The sequence below is a fragment of the Homo sapiens genome, chromosome 2 (genome assembly GCF_000001405.40).
Source record: "Homo sapiens chromosome 2, GRCh38.p14 Primary Assembly".
Classification (NCBI taxonomy): Eukaryota; Metazoa; Chordata; class Mammalia; order Primates; family Hominidae; genus Homo; species Homo sapiens.
In genome coordinates this window covers 136,567,683-136,591,483 of record NC_000002.12, presented here as the reverse complement: position 1 = coordinate 136,591,483, position 23,801 = coordinate 136,567,683, and the positions used below count along the sequence as shown (strand labels likewise).

Here is a 23,801-nt window from a genome sequence, read left to right as displayed (position 1 = left end):
TAAATACTGTCCAGTTCATCCTATAACCTTGCCTTCTCATGCATGTGAGATTTATATCCCAAAGATAATTACAGGAAATCCCAGGGAAATGAGTTGTTTATCATGTTCTGCAATACATTATTGAATTCCAAGAAGTTATTCCTTAGGATGGAATCAGAAGACCAGGATTGTTCAAATAAATTGCAAATTCAAACTCATCCAAAACCTCTTCAGCCACCAGACCTGCAGCAAATGCAGTTGTTGAATGGGAGGTGAATTTGCCTCACCAGGATCCCTGGAAGGAATAGGCAGTCAGTGAGAGGTTGTCAATATGGCATGTCTTCATGCTATTTGTTGAAAGGTTTTCTTTGATAAACTACTTATTTACAGGAGCACACTGTGGAGAAAAATCTTTATAGATGCTGTTGGGCTGCTTAAACAAGAGTGAATAAACTCAGCGGGAAAGGCTTGCAACACGAGTTCAATGTTTTCTGGTATCCCTTGGAACAGTCAGAACTTGTGGTCCTGGTGTCACCCGTCCAGAGAACACCATCTGCTCATTCCAGATATCAATGTCAGAAATCAAGACTTTTTCAAGACTCACATGGCACCTGTCCCAGATCAGCTCCTAAGAGCTGCAGCTTCACAGCCAGATGTGCAATGTATACATGGTGAACGTGTTGTGGAAACAGCGTAGGGTTTTTTTGTTTTAACTCAAGTAAATATTGTTTTGAATCTTGACTCTATCACTTACAAGTTTGTGTAATGTTGGACAAATTACTTCATCTTTTAGAGGCTCCATGTCTTTATTTGTAAAATGTAGAGCATAGAATTTTCCCGTGGATGGGTAGTTGTAAGGATTAAACAAATCGATGGACATTCAGCTACTCGAACAAAAACAATTTACATATCTTTAGAAAACTGGAAGGTAACACAAATAAGTAAAGCACAGTAGATATAAAGCAATAGAAATGATGAAAATTGTGTTTTGGATTGGCAATCAAATTCTATTTTTAAAAATTGTTTCTGAGGACAAAATCTCATTCAAGCTCTAAGTTTGTGAACTGCTCCCTGGCATCTAATAAATGTTAGTTTCTTGCCCTCTCTCTCTCTGCTGCTTCTCTTTCATGCTGATAGTGTGGTCTCCTTTTTAAAAAATAAATAAATGCCAGTTATTCTTAATGGGGTGAATTCTGAAAACCTCTGTGGGGATTTTTTATGCTACTGGCAGTTAGCAGGCAGAGAGATAAAGGGTGGTGGCCCACATAATGAATAATCCTACCATTAATGAGGGTGAAATATTGCTTACAATTATCTGAGCCTAGAACAAAAGCCTGTTTTACATAGAGACACAGGTATTTCTGCACCATTTTGTTGTATACACTGAATTTCCAGGAGCATAATTACTAGGGAAATTGAGGGTAGAATGCGTTTTGCTTTTTCTGGAACATCACCAGCAGTCCTTCATCATTTTAGAAAATCATATAAATAAAAATGATGTCACTTGGGTATTTGAGTTCCCAATAGCAAATACAGGGAGGATTTTACATTCAGTGTGATTCTTTATGAAAGTGTAAGCACTTGACAACTTCATTATGTCTTCTAATATTGCCCTGCCCAAGCATTTGCATTTTGAAATACATACTCATTTATTATTAATTACTTACCTCTTTTTTTGTTTATTATAGATAAGACATTATACTAATTTTTAATGAATATGACTAGGTAGATTTTATTACCTACGACATTTATTTTAAGGTGGTGAAGGAGGCATTACAAACTATTTTTATGAAAAAAAGAGGTGTTAAAGTTGTTAGGGTAAGAAAATCTCTGAGGTAGATTTGGGCTTCAGAACAAACTCAAGGAAATTGTCTTCAATGCCAAATGGGTCAGTCTCAAAGTGATAAACTGTTCTGCAAAAACAGGAAAGTACAAACCTACCTTGTTTTATTGTGCCTCAATTTATTGTGTTTTGCAGATATTTCATTTTTTACAAATTGAAAGTCTGTGCAACCCTGCATCAAGCAAGTTGATTGTTGTCATTTTTTCAACAGCATTTGCTCTCTTTATATCTCCATGTCATAATTTGATAATTCTCACAATGTTTTAAATTCTTATCACTATTATTATACCTCTTATGGTGATCTGTGATCAGTGATCTTTGATGTTACTGTTGTAATTGTTTTGGATCGCCACAAACCATGCCTATATGAGATGGTGAACTTAAATTGATAAATGTGTGTGTTCTGACTGCTGCACTGACTGGCCATTCCTTTGGTCTTTCTCCATCTCTCTCTCTGTCTCTCTCTCTCTCTCTTTCTCTCTCTGTCTCTCTCCCCTTTGGGCCTCTATTCCCTGAGACATAACAATATTAAAATTAGGCCAATTAATAACTCTACAATGTCTTCTTAATTGTTCAAGTAAAAGGAAGAGTTGCATGTCTCTCACTTTAAGTCAAAAACTAGAAATGATTAAGCTTAATGAGGGAGGCTTGTAGAAAACTGAGATAGGCCAAAAGCTAAGCCTCTTGGTTAAGCTTAATGAGGGAGGCTTGTAGAAAACTGAGACAGGCCAAAAGCTAAGCCTCTTGCATCAGATAGCCAAGTTGTGAATGCAAAGGAAAGTTCTTGAAGGAAATTGAAAGTGTTACTCCAGTGAACACATGAATGACAAAAAAAGTGAAACAGCTTTATTGCTGAAATGGATATAGTTTTAGTACTATGAATAGAAAAATCAAACCAGAAACAACATTCCCTAAGGCAAAGTCTAATCCAGAGCAAGACCCTAACTTTCTTCAATTCTGTGAAAGCTGATAGAGGTGAGGACGAAGAAGCTGCAGAAGAAAAGTTTGAAGGTAGCAGAGCTTGGTTTATTAGGGTCAAGGAAAGACACCATCTCCATAACATAAAAGCGCAAGGAGAAGCAGTAAGTGCAGATGGAGAAGCTGCAGTAAGTTACCACAGGATCTAGCTAAGATCATTGAAGACAGCGGCTACACCAAACAATATATTTTCAACGTAGACTGAGCAGCCTTATATCAGAAGAAGTGGTCATCTAGGGCTTTCGTAGCTAGAGAGGAGCAGTCAATACCTAGCTTCAAAGCATCAAAGGACAGGCTGACTCTCTTGTAAGCAGTTAATGCAGCTTGTGACTTTAAGCTAAAACCAATGCTTATTAACCATTCAAAAATTGAAGGGCCCTTAAGAATTATGCTAAATCTACTCTTTCTGTGCTCTGTATATGAAATAACCAAGCCTGGATGACAGCACATCTGTTTACAGTATGGTTTACTGAATATTTTAAGCCTGCTGTTGAGACCTACTGGTCAGAGAAAAGGATTTCTTTCAAAATTAGGACCTGGTCAGCCAAGAGCTCTGACAGAGATGTACAAGAGGATTTAAATTGTTTTCATGCCTGCTAACACAATATCCATTCTGCAGCCCATGAATCAAGGAATAATTTCTACTTTTAAGTGTTACATTTAAGAAATACATTCTATAAGCCCAGAGTTGTCATATACAGTGATTCCTCAGATGGATCTGGGAAAAATAAATTGTAAACATCTGGAAAGGACTCACCATTCTAGACGTCATTAATGACATACATGATTTATGTGAGGAGGTCAAAATACCAACATTAATAGAAGTTTGGAAGAAGTTCATTCCAACCCTTATGGATGACTTTGAGGGCTTCAAGACTTCAGTGGAGAAAGTAACTGCAGATGTTACAGAAAGAGAAATATAATTAGAAGTGGAGCCTGAAGATGTGACTGAATTGCTGCCATCTCATGATAAAATTTAAACGGATGAAGAGTTGCTTTGTATGGATGAGCAAAGAAAGTGGTGTCTTGAAATGAAATCTACTCCCAGTGAAGATGCTCCAAACATTGTTGAAATGACAACAAAGGACTTATAATATTATATAAATTTAGTTGATAAAGTAGCAGCAGGTTTTGAGAGGACTGACTCCAATTTTGACAACTTTATTAAATGCTATCAAACGGCATCTCATGCTACAAGGAAATCTGTCATGAAAGGAACACACAAACTTCATTGTTGTCTTATTTTAAGAAACTGCCACAGCCACCCCAACCTTCAGCAACTACCACCCTGATCAGTCAGCAGCCATCAACCTCAAAGCAAGACCCTCCACCAGCAGAAAGGTTATAACTCACTGAAGGCTCAGATGATCACTAGCATTTTGTAAACAATAAAGTATCTTTAATTGAGGCAATTAAGGTATATACATTGTTTTTTAGACATAACGCTATTGCACACTTAATAGAATACAGTATAGGCTGGGAACAGTGGCTCACGCATGTAATCCCAGCACTTTGGAAGGCTGAGGTGAGTGGGTCACCTGAGATCAGGAGTTTGAGACCAGCCTGGCCAACATGGTGAAATCCCGCCTCTACAAAACAACAACAAAAAAAAGCCAAGAGTTGTGGCGGGTACCTCCCAGCCTCCCAGCTACTTGGGAGGCTGAGGCAGGAGAATCGCTTGAACTCGGGGAGGTAGAGGTTGCAGTGAGTTGAGATAGCGCCACTGCACTCCAGCCTGGGTGACTCTGTCTCAAAAAAAAAAAAAAATAGAATACAGTATAGTATAAATATAACTTTATATGTACTGGGAAACCGAAAAATCCGTGTGACTCATGTTATTGTGATATTTGCTTTATTGTAGTGGTCTGGAGCTGAACCTTCAACGTCTCTGAGGTAGATCTTTAAAGGTAATCATTTATGTAGTAATAATAATAGAGACAAGACAAAAGTATTAAAAGATCATTGAATGTTATTGGAAAGAGTCACCAATGCAAGAAAAGGCAGATAAAAATCACACCGCTCCCGACAGAGCACAGCTTCAAGTCATTAAGGTGAGGGATTTGTCAATTTTCTGACTATTTGCTCCTTCACCAAGTCTGTCCTACAACGTTAATGTTATTTTAATGTCACTCCTCTTCTATAAATTTTGCAGGATAAAATCTTATTTAGTTATCACCTTTCAAACTAACTGCTGTAATTAAAGAAAATCACATATTTAATTAAAGAAATCTGCTTATTCACCACAAGTGGAGCAAACTCTGCTGCCTGTGTAATACCCGTGTTTAATGCAAAAGTTTCACGTAATGATTTTGTAAAATAACCTTTTGAAACTGGGTTTTAAATGCAAAGGAACATCTCACAATGGTACAACATATTAAAGAAAAGCTGCTTCAAGCATGTTTTCTATAAGCAAATTTAAGTGAACTCCTAACTTGTAAATGGCAAGAAAAAAGTTTGATCAATCCAGCAGTTATTAGTGCTGCAGAATCAGATTGACTTGTTCACTGAATTGATCACACTTTTGGCAGGGCTGATGATGGATTTGTCTGTGACAGCAGACTCCTATCCTCCTAGCACCTCTGTCACACTGTCAGGTGGGTGACAGCAACTGGCTGAGTGTGGTCCAGGTTTTTCAAGGCTCCTTAAGACTGCTTCAAAATGAGCTGAGCCTCTGTTAAAATGCTGATTCTTGGACCCACTACAAACAGGCTGTATCTGACTTTTTGGATTGGGGCCCAAGAAACTGCATTTTAATAAGCTTTCTAAATGTTTCTCATGCACCTATACGTAGAAAATTTCTAGTGCAATAACTGGCTAGGGTCCCTGTCCCCAGGACCTCATTATGACTTTTATGGGTGACTTTTGTGAACGACCTTGGCATTCTGGCTTTCGTGGGCCCCTTCCTTCATAAAAATATTAAAAAGTATATTTTATGACTCTGTCAGTATAAAGACTAATATATTAACATCACATATTACAACATTTTATTTGACCTAAAAGTTCCCTTTTCTTCTCATTTTAAGAGGAATTAGGCCGGGCACGGTGGCTCATGCTTGTAATCCCAGCACTTTGGGAGGCCGAGGCGGGCGGATCACAAGGTCAGGAGATCGAGACCACGGTGAAACCCCGTCTCTACTAAAAATACAAAAAATTAGCCGGGCGTGGTGGCAGGCACCTGTAGTCCCAAGCTACTCGGAGAGGCTGAGGCAGGAGAATGGCGTGAACCCGGGAGGCGGAGCTTGCAGTGAGCCGAGATCGCGCCACTGCACTCCAGCCAGGGTGACAGAGCGAGACTCCGTCTCAAAAAAAAAAAAAAAAAAAAAAAAAAAGAGGAATTAAAACACTTTGTGGGCCCATAAAAGTATTGTAGGCCTCATGGATACATCAGCCCTGCCTATCCCTATATCCTTTTATTCCCAATAGTCTGGGGCTACTTTAACTTCACCTCTGGGAAAATCCTTTAACAAGATGCTGCAACCTACACTGGTTTTGTGTGGATGATTTAAAAAAAATAAGAATCCAAGTGCATTAGGGAGAAGGCTTGGTAAGGAAGATATTAGAGTCTCCTAGAAAACTTCTAAACTATAATATGCATTCTCTTCCCTGAAACACAATGGTTGAGTTGGGCTGAGAGTATATATGGTTTGCAAAACACCTCAGGCTGACTCTGCAGCTCCTGGTCCCTGCTTAGAAGGCTCAGCACCAGCATCCTGTTACTAATCAAGCCCTATCTATATTTTCATTAATAATTATCTGCCAGTCATTGTGCTAAGTGCTTCACATGCTACATTTCATTTGATCTTCATTACAATAACACCCCCACTTAAGAGATGTGAACACTAAAATACAGAGAGACCAATTGCCCAGTCAGGTAGCTAGGAAAAGGTCGAACCAAGATTCGAACTTGAATTCCCTGATGCCAGAGCATTCATTCTTACCACTTGCTATCTGATGCCCTACAGCTGTGCTCTGTTCCTTCAACCTATTAACTGAATTCCTGTTGTGCTTCCTCATGCCTAAGTTTCTGCCTTGATAACCCACTCAGAAGTCCCCAAGCAGAAGCCTGTCTTTCACTTCACCTTCTGGTCCACAGACCCAGATCTCCACACATTGCCAGCTCCAAACTGCCTATCACCTTGCTCCACTCACCTGCCAGTACAACCACCTCTTGCTGAATCTCCCTGATGCCATACATCTGACTAGGTTTTTATTCAATTTATCATTCATTTTATCAATTTATCCATTTATTTTATTCAATTTATCATTCTATTCATTCATTCAACTGACATTCAATATGTCTCTTTATACCCGCCATCTGCTGGGCACTAGTATGTGACAACTTGGCCCTGCTCCAAGATGCTAAAGCTTGCTGAAGGGAAAGTGTATAGGGTGCAATATAGCATGTGAAGAGTCTTTAAAGGGGTGGGTGCCCAGTTCCATGAGGACACAAGGGACGATATAATCATCCCTGATCCTGACGCCTGTGTTCTGCTGACTTCTGGCCTCTCTGTCTCCTGCCCTCAATCAAAGCCCCACGCAGTGGACTGCTGATCCCCTGACCTGGGGCCTCTTCAGGTCTGTCTCTGCCACTATTTACCAAGCTCCATACATGGGGAGTCCTGGAATGGTCGGCCCCAGAACATGTGGATACATCTTAAGAGATTACCTCACTCATTAGTGATCCTGCCTAGAAAGAGTGATCTTGTCAAATCTTATTTCATTATTTACACTGGCATGTCGCTGTAACACTCCAAAGCAGAAATTAGCAAAGTATAAATTCTTTCCTCAAAAGGATTTATTTAGTGAAGTACCAAAAGATCTCATTATTAAAGTGGTCTCACTGTTAAGCCAGTCCCATACCACAGACCCCACAAACAGCAGAATAAATAGCTTCCCCTGGATATTTTGAAGTCCATTTACTTACTTAAGGTAGAATCAATATTTCATGTTAATATCATATAAAGAAAAATGTCTTCATAAAAATCTCTTCCTGTTGGGGCACCCACAACATTTCTGGACTCTCTTTTCCCAGAATGTATTACTTTTATCCTGCTTGTTATAGAGTTGGAATTTACAGGTTTCATTGCTCCACCATGAGTCCCTTCAGGACAAGGATGCCCCTTCTGAAAAGGATGATGTCCAGAGAGGACAAAATAATGCTTCTCACTCATTTTAGTGTTTCCCACAGCCCAGTGCCTGGCACAGGAAACATTCTACAAGTCAAAGATTTTGCCCACATACATGGATTTTATAGCTCACACGTTGTTTTAAAAAATTTTAGAACTATATATATTAAAAACTCTCACAGAAGTCTCTTTCTTTAAAAAAAAAAAATCAAAGCCAGCAACACTGGGTCTGAGCTCCCATCTACCTATAATCAGTGCACGCAGATAGTGCCCCTTTTAGAATGTTTTTGATAGGCTATCTCCCTCTTGCCTGCTTAACCCACTCCTGGGACCAGCCTGTCCTGGAGGCACTTATGTCTGTGGCCCCTGCAACCTGTGCTTTTTGGAATGAATTCTTCCTACGCCTTGTTCTCCTCTGCCAAACCAGACCCCAAAGCAAAAGACTATCTCAAAGCAATAGAGATAAATGAGCAAGATTGAATTGGAACACAGGAGACAGAAATGGGATGTGATAATGGAGCACAGGTGGATATTCAGACTACAACAGAATCATCCAAGGTGAGAGACTGGAGTCTTTATTCACCAGCTTCCTTTTCTCACTGTTTAATGGTTATCCCCCAGGAACATTGCTTCCCCTGCACTTTCTTGAGTTGCATCAGCGTGGCAAGCTCCCAGGGCTTTGGAGAAGACGCTGGGGCTGAAAGCATGTCCTTCTTGGGTCACTGTTACTGGGAGCTGTCCACTCGTGTTAGTGCTGAAATCAGATGTGGGCTGGGAGATGTGACAAAGGTGCCAGAAATGTCTGCTTATTCTAAAAAGAACTTATGGTGGCCTACAAATGTTTATGCATTAACATGCATTTTAACAAATATCTATACATAATGAGGAGTCAACAGATGCCATTTAATCCTATACACTTCTTAGATGTGGAACTCAAAGCCTTTGAATTTGGAAAGAGTCAACAGGAAGAGCAAAGCACAGTAAAGAACAAATTTGACTGAAAGGCAAAAATAAACTAGTTTTTCAGTAGGAGCACAACTATTTCTGGCACTGATATCAGACAGAAGTTTCTCCTATGGATCCTCAGAGAGGACAAGGGGATGCAATGAATTACATCATTGTCAAAATCTTTATTGTAAAATTTGGTGTGCGTTTTATCTTGCTGTTTCTTATGTTTGAATACAGGCAAATGGATTCCCACAAAGCATGATTAGTAAAAGAAAAGCTAAGGTAGGGTGGGGAAAAGGATATAAATAAGATGCAGTTGTGATTGGTGGTTCTCTGATGGTCCCATTAATAGATGGCCACTTTTAGATACTAGAGGAACGTGCCAACTACTTTCAGAATTAGTCTAACTTTGAATCTGTTTCTTATCCTCTTTTTCTTTTGTCAGCTGCTTCTCATTCTCATTAATTTTTTTCTTTAGACAGTATAAAGAGTAAAATAAAATTCAACAATGAAAACTCAGAGATTGTTAATCAACTGCTAATATAGGATAAAAAATGTATTATCTTTATCTTCAAATTTGCTACCCATTAGCTGTGTGACTATAGCCAAATCATTTAAACTTTCAAAGGTGAGGGACAGAGAGAAGTTGGGGGTGGCTTGCATGTTTTTAGCTTGGTTCAAGCAAGTAAAGAATGGTACTACTACATGATCTAGAAAAAATTAGAGTAGGTTTGGGGGTAAGGAAGATGATTTTGGTTTTAGAAACGCCCAGCTGGGGTGCTCATGGGTTTGGGTGGAGATGTCTCACAGGCAGTTGAAGATATGATCTTGGATCTCAAAGTAGATATGAGGCTTCAGGTACAGATTTAGGAATCATCATTTCATAGAAAGTAGTTGAATCTGGGAGCACAGATGATGATTCAAGAAGATGGATTGAAGAAGAGTAGTGGACTGAAGGAAGGACCTGGAGTCTCTGAGTGGGTAGGTAGAGAAAGAGAAACCCAGAAAAAGTGATGAGAATAAAGCAAAGAAATTCAAGGAGAACCAGGATTGCAGGGTCACCAGGAGCAAGGCAGTAAAGACTTTCAGAAAACAGGGACCTATTAAAGGTGTCAAATGCAGCTGAAAAAAAAGACTAAGAAGAATCTGGTGGAATCAAGCTCCCCTTTCTTTTAGCAATGAGCTTGATAATGCACCCTTATACTGACTTTCCTCTTTCCCTAAGTCACTCTCAAAGTTCTTTCCCTCACTCCTCTTCCTAGGATCATCTCTCAAATAAATCACCTGCCCCCAAGGCCTAGTCTCAAGGCTCTGCTTTCAGAAGAACCCAAACCAAAATGGTGTGGGAGGAGGAAGTAGGCAAATTAACAAATTGCTTGATGTTCATTAATTGTTTCACAAGAGAGAATTCTACCCAGCTTCCTGACTCTGAGTTCCTTGTCTGAGAAAAGTGAATACCCATAAAGTGATCCCCATGCCTACCAGACACACACACCACCCTCCTCCCAGATAATAATGTCTAGACCTTTGGGCAAATAGCAGCTAAAATTTGATATTTGACCAAACACAGTACTGATATGCCATGGATATCCCAAATCCACTTTTAATATTTCAGGCATCAGATGTAGGTGAGCCCTTTGCTAGACATATTGCCTCCTTTGGATCCTTGTAGAAACCAGAGGAGTGGAGCTCTGAGGAATAGGACAGGCAGTGCCAGGGAATCGCTCCCATCCAGTAACTACCCAATATGTGGTCAGTATGTACTGCTGCATGGAGTAAACAGACATCACAGGAAAGGTTTCAGAGGCCACAGGGAGACATTTGACCACCCATCATTTGTCCTAGAGGATACTGAGGATTTTGGAGAGTTCTGGGGTCTTAGAGCATAAAACATTCCACTTTACTTGCTTTGGGAGTGTTTCATATTGCCTTTTGTGTCTCACATGTAGCAGGCATTCAATCAAAGTTTGGTGAACTAATTGAACGAGATGCTTATTGCTCCTTCCCTTGCAACTCAGTCTTGTTTAATGGTGATGACAGTGGTAGCAGTGGTGATGACTGCCATTTATTAAATGCTTGCTCTCCAATCCCCTCACCTGACAATTAAGAAAAAAAAGCCCAGATAGATTAAGAGTCCTGCCCAAGGTAAACACCTGGCTATTAACAATGTTGGAACTTTTTCTCCCAAACCAATATTTGTTCCATTATTATTTGCTGCTTCTACTTGCTGATGTGCAGATGAGACTTTAAAACTAGGGATTTCCATAATGCATGTCATTTTTAAGAGACTATATATGAAGACTAAAAATTATCCTATCTCCCATAAAGTAAGATGGACAATTCTCCCTGGACACTCTGAATTCACACACTGTAAAATAATATCACAATCCATGGGCCACAGTCATCAGTCCTTGAGGTAGAACCTAGGGGAGAAGGGAGCTAATGACCCTCAGCATTACTGAGGGTGGTGGCTCATGCCTGTAATCCCATGACTTTGGGAGGCCAAGGAGAGTGGATCATTTGAGTCTAGCGGTTTGAGACCAGCCTGGGCAACATGACAAAACTCCGTTTCTATTTAAAAAAAATAAGACCCTCCGCCAGCCACCTCTACAATCTCTAGGGGTAAATATGCTTGTCTATTTGCCTCAATATTCCTTACAAGTAGAATTACTATTTTCCATTTTGCCATGGCATAATAACATTGGAAAGAACTATCTTAACATTGGTTTATTGGACATTCTGAACAGTCCCAGTGGAGTTCAAGCATGAAGAAGTTTTATTTTTCTCCCCAGCCACTGCCTTCTCCCTGATCTGACAAATCAACTCTTGATGACAGTTCAGTTTGAACAGATCCAGTAGATTTTCAGGCAGTTTCAGATATATAAGAATAAGTCCCATTCTAGATTCCCTTTTTGGTTTTGAAAAGTACAGGCCAGTGCAAATCAAAACTTGAATCTCACATGCAATTCAATGCTTCCCACTGGCCTCTTCCTTAGGCTCAACCCTTGGTTCAAGACCAGAAGTGGGGAAGAGGATATGGCCTGTTTTTTTCCTCTTCCTCCATTCCTTCTCTCTTCCTTTTCTGTCTTTCACTGGGGAGGAGGGAAGGGAAGTAGAGGATAGGAAACAAGCATTTCACTTAACTGTACTCATTGTTTTGGTTCACTATGGGCTGGCCACCAATGTACCCAGTAGGTAGAGCTGTATCATTGCTAGCTTTCTTGTGGGTTGCAGGAGTAAGTTCTTGGAGAGCCCCTTAACTGTTCCTTCACATGGTGATACACTCTGGCTGACCTCTAAAATACCTCCCTCTAGCACTCATTCCTATCCCAGACGGCATGTCCATAATATGTTATCCTGGTCCCATAGTCTGGCAGGGTACAGTAAGAAGAACTAATTCAGTGCTTTCTGCAATAAGCACTTGGCCCACAGAAAACTCAATCATCCCTGCTGAGTCAAATGCAGTGTGCAGGCTGCCCCATGACTGCCCTCTCTTCTCATCTTGCCTTCAGGCTACTCCAGGCCACTTCTAGACTTCAGGGTTCTCCAGGTAATCAGGAGACATGGTTTGGTTCTCACATGCCCCCAAACTCCCAAGACAGATGTGAAGAGGCAGAAGCCTTTCTCATCATACCCTACTCTGCTCCAAATGTGGGTCCAAGCAGAGACATGGATTCTGCTGCTCCACAGACACCAGCTCAAAGGGGAGGAAGGGACTAATCTTCCCTTATTGCAGGCACCCACCAATCTCCACAAACAATGCTCTCAACTGGCTTGGAAGAAAATACCTCAGGATAATAGAGGGCAAAATCTCCCCTAGATCTACAACCCACAGCTCACATTCTTTCCAATCCCAAGGCTTTTTTTTTTAAATATAGGCTGGTGGAGGAGGTGCTAGAGTCTCTGTAGTTTTCCACGTTGTCTTCATGTGTTGTGGACCATGTCCACTGTCCTTTTTAGAATATGATGTTATTTATTCCCTGCTATTCTCAACGTTGAAGCTTTATATAAAATTCTGACATGAAGATAATGCCTTCTTCAAATTCTGTTAACAGAAAATTTATATTTTAAGATCTATAAAAGGGAACATGCCCTAAAGAGAATGTTACTCTTTAGATAAAACCTAAAAGTAAAAATAAATAAATAAGTCAGGTAAACTAGACAGAAAACATTCTCTACCAAACATATCCCAGGTGCTTTAAAAGCTGACTGGGAAAACATACACTAGAGATGCACAAGCCCTCCTAGAAGAGTGGGCCTGCTGAGTCGAATTCACCAGCACAGCTTTCCTCTGTCTTCCTTCCCCAATTACCAGACACCCATAGATACCACATCTCAGCCCCCAATATTTCATTCAAGGGCTGCAGGATGGGATAATCCATTTTGAACACTTTTCTGCAGCTCAAAGTTCGCAACTTTCAATACACTTTCCATAGTTCTCTTATTTATCCTCTGTCCCCAAGCCTCAGTCCAACTTCATCGGTCTGTTCGATCCAGACATCTACCCCTCGGGACCTTCCCACCATGGGACCCCCTCCACAATCTCTATAAGATATGTGGTCCTCAATTTTCTCTCCACATCAGCTCTAAAATTAAAGTTCAGGAAAAGCAAAAAGGAGCTATCAGACTTAGTAGCCAACAAAGCAGCTTTTGCCTGAAATACTCTGGGTCAAAAAGAAGAAAATGGCAACGAAAATCAACCAACAAAATGTCACGTCTCCAAATATCCACAGATTCATATGACTGTAGCACACAGTTTAGCACTTGCCGCTGATCTTGTGAAACAATTTTAAAAGCTGGTTGTTTTCACTGAATCTGAATGCTCACTTATTTATCTATTCTTATCTTCATAGTGCTCTTGGTGCTAACACCTGGAAAGAAAAGGTGAAGCAAACTGTTTTGTGGTCTTATTTTGTACCTAGAACTGCATCAGGCATTTTGCATGCACTGTCACAGGGACTGAGGAGGAAGATTTATCTTTTTTTTTCTTTTTTTTTTTTTTTTTTTTGCCCCTTCCCAGCTTACAGCTGTTTTCATCTTACAAGTATTTTAGGTATTTCATACTAATGCTCAGGCCTCATCAGAAACGCAATGCCATCTTTAATTTTTTGGTTGTTGAACCTGGTGCCAGGAGCAAGTCAAGAGGGTGGCTACAAATCATGCTTTATTTATGCAGAGGAATAAAAATACACTCGTGTGAGTGAAGGGTGAGATGCAGCACAAGGCAGTGCATTTTTACAAGGCAAACGGAAGCCTTGATTTACTTCCCATTCCCTAAAACTTTATGGCTTCCTCATCAAAAGAGACAGGTTGCTTTCTATCTCTTAGATGGTAAATATGGTTAATGTGCTGAGCAGTGTTGCACCCACTCTCGGGCGCTTTATTAGGAACAAGAGTTATTTAGTGACTCTTCCTTTGTCGCAGAGATGAGTCCCTGAGATATCATTGAGAGCCCTAGAAATAATGCTCAGCCCAATACACCATTGCCTGGGGGTCCTCCTGGATAACAACAGTTGAAGGAAGAGGCATGCAGGGTGTTCCTCATTTCCAGAATCCTCCTTCACTCTGGAAGTTGAATATTCTCAAGGACTTCAATGGTAGAGAGGTAATTATTCATTTTAGCTTATTAATATCTTCTGAGTTCACAGTGGGGCACACGAGCAGTAGTAAAAAGAAGAGGGATGTGGTTTTTGCCCTTCCTAAAAGTATGGTCATGGGCAACTAATTACCTTATTAGAAATGCTCAGGTCAACTTAAGTTGGGGTTTAGAATAAGGTGGGCCTGGGGACACACAAAGCAATCAGAGTTCTAGGGATCCCATGCTCTAGCGTCATGCTCTCTAGCAGAAATAGAATGTGTACCACATAGCGGTTTTAAGTTTTCTAGTAGCCACATTTTTAAAAAGTAAAAAGTAGGTAAACTAATTTTAATAACATTTTTATGCTGTATATTACCATATTTATTAACATGTAGTCAATACAAAAAAAATCTTTTAGATATTTTACCTTTTTTTTTCATGCTAAGTATTCAAAATTTGCTATGTATTATATGCAACAGATGCATGTAGCTAACAACTACTGTATTGGACATGCAGTTCTGCTCAAGCTTTAATATGCATAGGAATCATCTGAGGAGCTTGTTCAAATGCAGATTCTAATTCCATAAGCCAGGGTAGAGCCTGAGAGTCTGGATTTCTAAGAAGCTTTCAAGTGATGGCAATGTTGATGGTCCATGGACTCTACTTTGAGCAGCAAGAAACTAGGATCCCCTTCAGTGGTGTGCTGGCACTGGCTCCTGACAGCCAACTATGTCATCTCCCAAATCTACATTCACTGTTGCCAGGTTGGTAGCTTGGAATCAGCCATGGTGAAAGTATTTACACAATAGAAATTGGTGTCACATTAGGACATGACTTTTCTGGAGAGCCAGTTGCTAAACATTTACTGACACACCCCTGCTCATGGTCCAGTGGGTAATCCCACAGTCTGTGGCTCTTCTCTGAGTAATGGGATCATGAGTAACCCTTCTCTTTCTTCTTTGCCTTCTGTTGCTGCTTCTGCTTCCACGCCTCCTTCTCCTTCTGCTGTGATTTGAATATTTGTCCCCTCTAATCTCATGTTGAAACTTGATCCCCATTGTGGCAGTATTGAGGTGGGGCCTTTAAGAGGAGATTGGGTTATGGGGGTTCTGACCTCATAAATGGGTCAATCCATTCATGGATAAATTGGTAGATAGCTGAATGGCTTATCATTGGAATGGGACCAGTGGCCTTATAAGAAGAGAGACCTGAGCTAGCACACACAGCCCCCTCACATGGGCCACCTCAGTACTCTGCAGGGTCCCCACCAGCAGGAAAGCCTTCACCAGATATGGCCCTTTGACTCTGACTTCTCAGCCTCCATAACCGTAAGAAATTCCTTTTCTTTATAAATTACCCAGTTTCAGGTATTCTGTTAAAGCAACAAAAAACAGACTAAAATATCTTCTCTTGTTTTCTTTTGTTTCTTCTTATCTGCAATAATTACTTATATAATAATTAACATGTACAATTCATGTAATTATTTTTAAAACATATTTTTCAAAACTAAAAAGTATACAGTGCCGAGAGATGTCTAGTAGTTGTTATGCTATGAATTAGCTTTGTAATCTGAACAAGTCTTGGAGTCTGGCACTCACTTTCCCCACCTATACAATGGGCATAAGCACATTTGCCCTACCTGCTTCAGGTACATGTTTGAAGAATAAAGTGAGATGATACATATTTGAATTTCAATGTGACACAAAGCCAAGGAAAACACTGAAAGTGACTAGCTACTTCAATCACCAACATCTCCATTGTTCTGGTATGGCCAGATTCTCTTTTAGGTTAGAGCTATTATCACGGGCAGAGATGTCTTCAATTCTGGGAAGGGGTATGTTGGGGAGTGGGGACAGTTATCTTGCAATCAATTTGCCAAACTCAGATGCTTGACTAAATCCTAGCTATCCCTGATGGTTAAGAAAGCCTCATTGGCCAAAACAATATTGAAAAAAAGGACAAAGCTGGGGGATACAAACTTCCTGATTTCAAAACTTACTACAAGGCTATACCGATCAAAATAATGTGATGCTGGCATAAGCATATATACATTTGTACCTATGTGTGTGTGCATATATCTCTGAACTCTCTCATACATATACATATGTGTGTGTATATATGGAATACACACACAATATATATGGAATACACACACATATGTATATATGTATATGAGAGAGTTCAGAAATAAACTAACATGTCTATGGTCAACTGATTTTTGACAAGAAGGACAAGACTGTTCAATGGAGAAAGAATAGTCTTCCAATAAATGGTGCAGGAAAAAATAGCCACATGCAAAAAAAAAAAATGGATTTGGGCACCTACCTCACATTACATACAGAAATTAACTCAAAATAAATCAAAGACCTAAATATAAGAGCTAAAATTATAAAACTCTTAGAAGAAAAGAGAGATGTAAGTCTACGTGATATTAGATTAAGCAATAGTTTCTGAAATATGTCACAAAAAGCATAAGCAAACAAAAAAACTAGATAAATTCGACTTTGTAAAAATTAAGAAATTTTGTGCATCAAAAGACATTGTCAAAAAAGTTTAAAAACCCACGGAATGGGAGAAAATGTTTGCAAATCATATATCTGATAAGAGATTAAGATCCAGAATATATAAGAACTCCTGCAACTAAAAACAATTCAAAAATGGGCAAAGGATTTAAATAGACATTCCTTCAAAGAAGATATTCAAATGGCCAATAAGCACATGAAAAGCTGCTTAATATCACTAATCCTTTAGGAAATGCACAACAAAACCACAAGTAGATACTTCAGATCCTCTAGGACAGCTATTTAAAAAATAAATAAATAAAAACAGAAAATAACAAATGTGGGCAGAGAAGTGGAGAAAATGAAGTTTGAGCCCTTCTGCGTTGCTGGTGAGAATGTAAAATGGTGCACACACTGTGGAAAATTGTTTAGCACTTCTTCAAAAAATTAAACACAGAGTTATCCAGCAATTCTACTCCTAGGCATATACCCAAGAGGATACTTGTACATAAATATTCACAAAAAACTTGTACATGAATGTTCATAGTAGCATTACTTATAAATAACCACAAATTGGGAACAACCCAAATGTTCATGAACTGATGAATGGATAAATAAAATGTGCTTTATCCATAAAACAGAATATTACTCAGCACTAAAAACAGAATGAATCACTTGCTCACAATACAGTTGGATAAATCTTGAAAACACTATGATAATTGAAAGAAGCAAGCTACAAAAGGCCACATATTATATGATCCTATTTATATAAAATGTCCAGAATAGGCAAGTCCACAGAGAAAGAAAATACATTCACTGTTGACAGGGCCTGGAGGGAATGAGGAGTGACTGCTTAATGTGTTCAGGCCTTCTTTTTGGAGTAATAATAATTGCAATGATCGTAACCTTTAATCCACTCAACAAATAAGACCACCCATGAGCTAGTTGTTGTGCTGCATGCTCAGGATAAAATGTCAAGGACAGTACTATCTATACAGTCTCTGCTCTCAGGGATCTTACTATTTAGTCTGCACATCCACGTACCTAAGCTTCATCATCAGCCCAGCCTGCTATTGTGACTCAATTAACGTTACACTCTACCATGACCAGAGTTGTACTGGCCCAAGATGTTGGTTGAGGTTGCTACTGACACTTAAATATTTTTACATGTGAATGTATGTCTATATTTATACACTATATTTTATACTGTGTTAGTTTGCTAAGACAACAGAAATTTACTGTCTCATAGTTCTGCAGGCTAGATGACCAAGGTGCCAGCAGGGCCATGCTCCCTCTGAAGGTATAGGGAAGGCTCTGCTTTAGGTCTTGCTCCTAGCTTCTGGTAGTTCTTAGGCTTGGGCAGCATACCTTCAATCTTCACACCATGTTATCCGTGTGTGTGTGTGTGTGTGTGTGTGTGTGTGTGTGTGTACACGTTTCTCCTTTTTATAAGGACACCAGTCATATTGGATTACGGCCCACCCTACTCCAGTATCACCTAATCTTAACCAATTGCATATGCAATGACCCTATTTCCAAATAAGGTCACTGGGGAGGTACTAAGGATTAAGACTTCAGCATGTGAATTTTGGAGAGACACAATTCAACCCATAAGACACACAAATGTGCACATACGCGGGTACGGTGTTTACAAAACTGACCTTAATATTATCTCTAAGAGATCAAAAAGGCAATTTATTTTTGTTCCTGTGCTGCAGAAAAGACGGCTGAGGCTCATAGAAGTTAAGGGATTAGGGGACTCCAAGGTCTTGAGGCTCCTAGTGGGACGCACTTTGTCCTCTGTTGGGGCAGTATGTCTCTTCTTGTGGGATCACTTCTGCTGTTGCAGTCTCCAACAAGCAGTCAAATTCCTGAGGGTTTTGACCTTGGCCAACCCAGGTGTCAAGCTGGTGGGCAGTCCCTGAAGCATTTCTTAGGCTGTGCTGACAGCATCCTGGCAGCAGAGTTGGCACTGGGATAAATGCCTGTTCCAACACATGGCATTCCTCTCAGACTGCTTTCTCCAGCAGCTGAGAGCTGTTGGCAGCTGTGGGTGCAGAGAGCCAGCGAATTGAGTCCATAGAAACTGTGGTACAACACATTTCCTACTGAAAGGACAAGCTTCCCATCAATCCAATTCCACTTAAAGCTCGCTAGTTATCACATGTTTCTGTGTCTTCAAAATCTTCATCAGCTCCAAATTTAATTTATTGGAAGCAGCATCTGAAAATCTGATATAACCTAGTCTTCATGCTAGATTAGAGGACAAAATCTTTCTCTAATCTATTCCCAGGACAAAATTATTATCTTTAAAACATTGCCTTAAAAGAATAAGGCTGTTGTCTTCAAACACTTGGGGAGGTAATTAGCTCTGCAAAAACTCAAATAAATGCATAGCACATAAGTGTCCCCTCCCAAAAATAGGTCATAGAAACATGGATATCCAGACAAATTAGCTGAAAACCCAAAGCAGAAAAAGAAGATTTCTACCCAAGCCACCCACTCAGAGGTGGTAGCATAGACATGCTGGAAAGGGAGGAAGGGGCCGGAAGTGCTGCCCCTGCCTTGGGACCAACTGTGGAGACTTGGCTAAGTTCCTTCCTCTCCCTGAGCCTCAATTTCCCCAGTTGCAAAGTGAAACAGTAGGATTCAAAGATCTCCAATGTCCCTTCTGGTTCTAACATTTTGCCTGGAAAGAAACCAGGTAATAAATTCGCAACAAACTCTCTAAATGAACAGCAGATTCCAAACAGGCACATAACTTCCATGCTGCTGAAAGCCACCAAGTTCCAGTAAACACCTCCTCCCACAGAGCTACCTTAGGCACTGTAAAGTCCTGAAGATCAAAGATCCAAGACTCTGAGGCATCACACAGTACTGACTCTGATTCTCCTGAGAACATGTAAGCCAGCAGCCCCCAACACCCAGGCTATGTAAGCAGTGTCAGATATGGAGACAATACAGACTATAGGAGCACGAGCTCTCTCTCAGAGAGGATGGGGATTTGGAGGAGAGGCAAACATTGCTATAGACAAAGTGCATCAAAGCACAATGTTCACCACCAAAAAGTTACACAAGCATCTCACAGTTCAAAGAACTGAACCCTAGAAAAGTGAAGATCACATTCAATAATAAATATCTACACTAGAGATTGCAGACTGGCCACTGTTGGGCCAGATTTGGGCAGGAGATCTGTTTTGTTTCATCTGCACATGTTTTCCTAAAGAATTAATTCATTTTCATCCGTGAAAAGTTGGGAGAACTTTTTACATAAAAATATGGATTTTCTGCTTCTCTTGAAAATTAAGTTATTTGCTAACACAGGTCCTACATTCTTACCTGGCCACCACCATTTGGGGCTGAAGAGCACCTACCTGAACCCATGATAAATGGAACAGGGCTCCCCAGTGCTACACAGGCCCTGCCATCAGTTTCACTGGCCTGTGGTCATTCTGAGGGCTCACCCAGGAATAAAGTGAATGAAGCCCAATCACAGCAGTATTGTATTTAGAAAGATACAGCCTGAGTTTTGTCTTTGCAAAACATTCATCTTCCTAAATGATAACCATGGACCAAGGGCAGCCCCCATTGAAATAATCAATTTGACAGCAAAAAAAGATACTGGGAGTAAGTTGCATGATCACTAGGAAAGGAACTATTGAATTAAAAGTGGCAGATCCATACTGTGGAATGTAATACAGCTATTGAAAAAAAATCAGATCAGTGGCTCTCAAACAGGGAAAATTTTTGTCCCCCCAAGGAACATTTGGCAATGTCTGTAAACATTTTTGGTTGCCACAACCAGGGGTGATGTGTGACTGTATGCTAATAAGTAGAACAGAGGTTCTCAACCCCCAGGCTGTGGCCTGGTCAATGGCCTGTTAGCAGCTGGGCCACACAGCAGGTGAGCAGCTGGTGAGCTAAACCACCTGAGGTATGCCTCCTGTCAGATCAGCTGCAGCATTAGATTCTCATAGGAGCATGAACCCTATTGTGAACTGTGCATGTGAGGGATCCAGGTTGCATGTTCCTTATGAGAATCTAATGCCCTGTGATCTGAGGTGAAATAGTTTCATCCTGAAACTATCCCCTCCCCCATCCACATCTGTGGAAAAACTGTCTTCCGCGAAACCAGTCCCTGGTGCCAAAAAGGTTGGGGACTGCTGAAGTACAGGACAGCAGTGGTACTGCTAAACATTTTACAATGCACAGAACAGCCCCTGTAGACAACACACAGGATGGCCCCAGGGACAGCCCCTGTGCACTGTAAAATAATGAAGGAATTATCCTACCCAAAGAGCCTATAGTGCTGAGGTTAACCATGAGTTAGATCCATACTGGTTAACATGAAGAAATTTCCAAAATGTTAACTGAGAAAAGCAAGATGTAGAGCAGTGCATATACACCACTTTTAATATGACACACACAGAAAAACTATGCCTATGAATCTGATAAACAGTTATAATTTACATGAAATTAGATATTTCTAGATCCACATGCATAAAAAGTTGTATGAAAGAACAGATCACCAAATGTTAATGCGAGTAATCCCAGAATGTTGGCATTCCAGATGATTTCTCCTTTTCTCCTTATACTTCTTGGTATTGTACAAGTATTTTTAAAATGAGTATGTATTATTTACAGAATCAGAAAAAATAGTATAGATGTTTTTTCATTGTGAAAATAATCGCTAGGTAATTCTTATACATAACCTTCAAAGCTAGATTTACCAGCCACCTCACCAAATCTTACTCCTGTGTCATTAACAAAGACAACTGTAATTGGCATCTGCCTCTTCTCCCTTCTCCTACCTGACCTTGAAAGGGCTTTTCTCACCAAGGCCCAGAAAAAGGACATGTCTTTCTCAGCAAGAGGAGTCCAGATGGCTAATCAGCTAAACAGCCAGCACCTGACAGTCAGGTGGCAATCAATAACTGACCATCTTACAAGACCACAGCTCCTCCCTCCTCTTCTGGTCAATACGTTTCCCCTGAGTAAAAAGAACTCCCAGGGAAATAGGACGGCAAGGAGACATGGGTCCTACCCCTAACAAGCTTACACACTATTTAACAGATATGCAAAACACACAGCAGAACTTGATGAAGTTCAAGAGCTCTCAGCCCAGCTCTGCCTGGCATCAGATCAGCCTCCCTGTCTTTATATCATGCCAACCACTTTGTGGTCCAAAGGGTAGGGCTTTCTGCAGTGTCAGAGACTCCAAAAAGCTGGAATTCAGTTAGAATGCATTTGTATCTGCTGGAGCAGACACCAGTACAGGGCCAAAGGCTCCTCCTGCAATCAGCTCTCAGCTTCCCTTTCCTGGGCATCACAGCATCAGCATCAATGGGTTGAGTAGAAAGTGGCATCAAGCTCTGTGACCCACCTCCCATCCCCTTATGCACGTCTTATTAGTAGGTGCTAAAAGCAGAATCAGTCTAACCTTAAATTGAGTGGGTTTGTGGGTATTTGTATATAGTTATATGAATGTGTAAAACTAATTTGTGTGTAAACACAGGTAAGAGTTATGACTATGCACATCAATGGGCAAAGGTTTTAGGACATGTGAGAGGGGGATCAGTGTAAGAATGTATATATATTACTCAGTTAAACTTCAAGCTGGAGAAGTCAGCCAATGTGCATAAAAATAAAAATGAGCTTCTGAATCATGCTTTGTACCAGGAATGCTAGATGCTCTTCAAGCATGTCTTCAACCTTCACAACAAATCTGTAGAGAAGGTATTTAATAGATAAGGAAACTGAAGCTCAAAAAATTTAAATATATCATCTAGGTTCACCCAGCTATTATGTGTCAGAGCTGAGGTTCAAACCCATGCTTATTTACATTCAACATTGTTTCCACTACACCATGCTTTCTTCATGTTTACTCCGCATAAGGTATTTCAAGCAAAGGGCAGCATACAAAGTCAGTCAGAAGAGTTACAATCAAAAGCTGGTGTTTTCTGGAATTTATGCCTGTGCCAAATACTTGTCTGCCTTTTGATAAAAATAAACAATTGATTATATGTTATTATGTAGGTAAGATGTAATATTCAAAGCTGAATATCCAAAGTATCAATATTGGGAGATTCACTTGAGTGAAACTAGAGGGTTTTACGGTTATGAGTTTGGCCAGCAGTTCCACTTTTCCTAAAGTATGATGAAATAGCCAATAACATTGGGGCAAATAATAGAAAAACCCAAGGAAGGTTATCATCAATTTCATATATCCAGTTCACACAGGGATTGTTAATTCTACTTATTGAAGTAAAAAAGTGGTGCTTATTATGATTGAGACTTCATGTGAATTTTCTGTAATGGGCAGATAAACATCAAATTAAAATGCCCCAAACAAATACAATGGGCATGTGAATCTCAGTTGGTTTCTCTTAGACCAGCTTCTCATTAAATAGAAACGGGTCTCCTAGGAGCCTCCAGGTCAGGCTGTCTTGCTTGGGTTGTGACGACTGTTTTGCTAACTCCATAAACAGTATTTCTCATCAGTGTTTGTACTTTTTAAAAATGTATTCTCTGTTTGGTGAATATTCTCTATGCAGTTCCTCCTCAAAAAACAAAAAGAATAATTGAATACTAAACCCTCCTACTGATAATCTATATTGCTCCAAAGATAAAGTCTATCTTCCGAGGGCTTTTTTTTTTTTTTTTTTTTTTGCAGTTTTATTTAAGAAATCAGTGTTTGGTTTTATTTGGTTTTGACTTAGTCTTAAAGTAGTACTATAATAGTGAATGTGCTTTTCAACCCACCTGTCCCTTCCTCAGAGAAATCCTGATTTTCTCTCTAGGATGTCTAAACACCCAGGTTGACAACCACAGTCTTAATATTTCATTAA

At 40.0% G+C, this 23,801-nt stretch overlaps 1 long non-coding RNA gene across 1 annotated transcript in view; it reads left to right on the top strand.

Moving 5' to 3' along the window:
- Window positions 1-15,579: 15,579 nt before the first annotated feature.
- LOC105373633 (uncharacterized) overlaps window positions 15,580-23,801 on the top strand; it is a 31,074-nt gene continuing 22,852 nt past the window's right edge. The window contains exon 1 of the long non-coding RNA XR_923360.3: window positions 15,580-15,780. This is a non-coding gene — a long non-coding RNA (uncharacterized LOC105373633). The remainder of the gene's footprint in view (window positions 15,781-23,801) is intronic.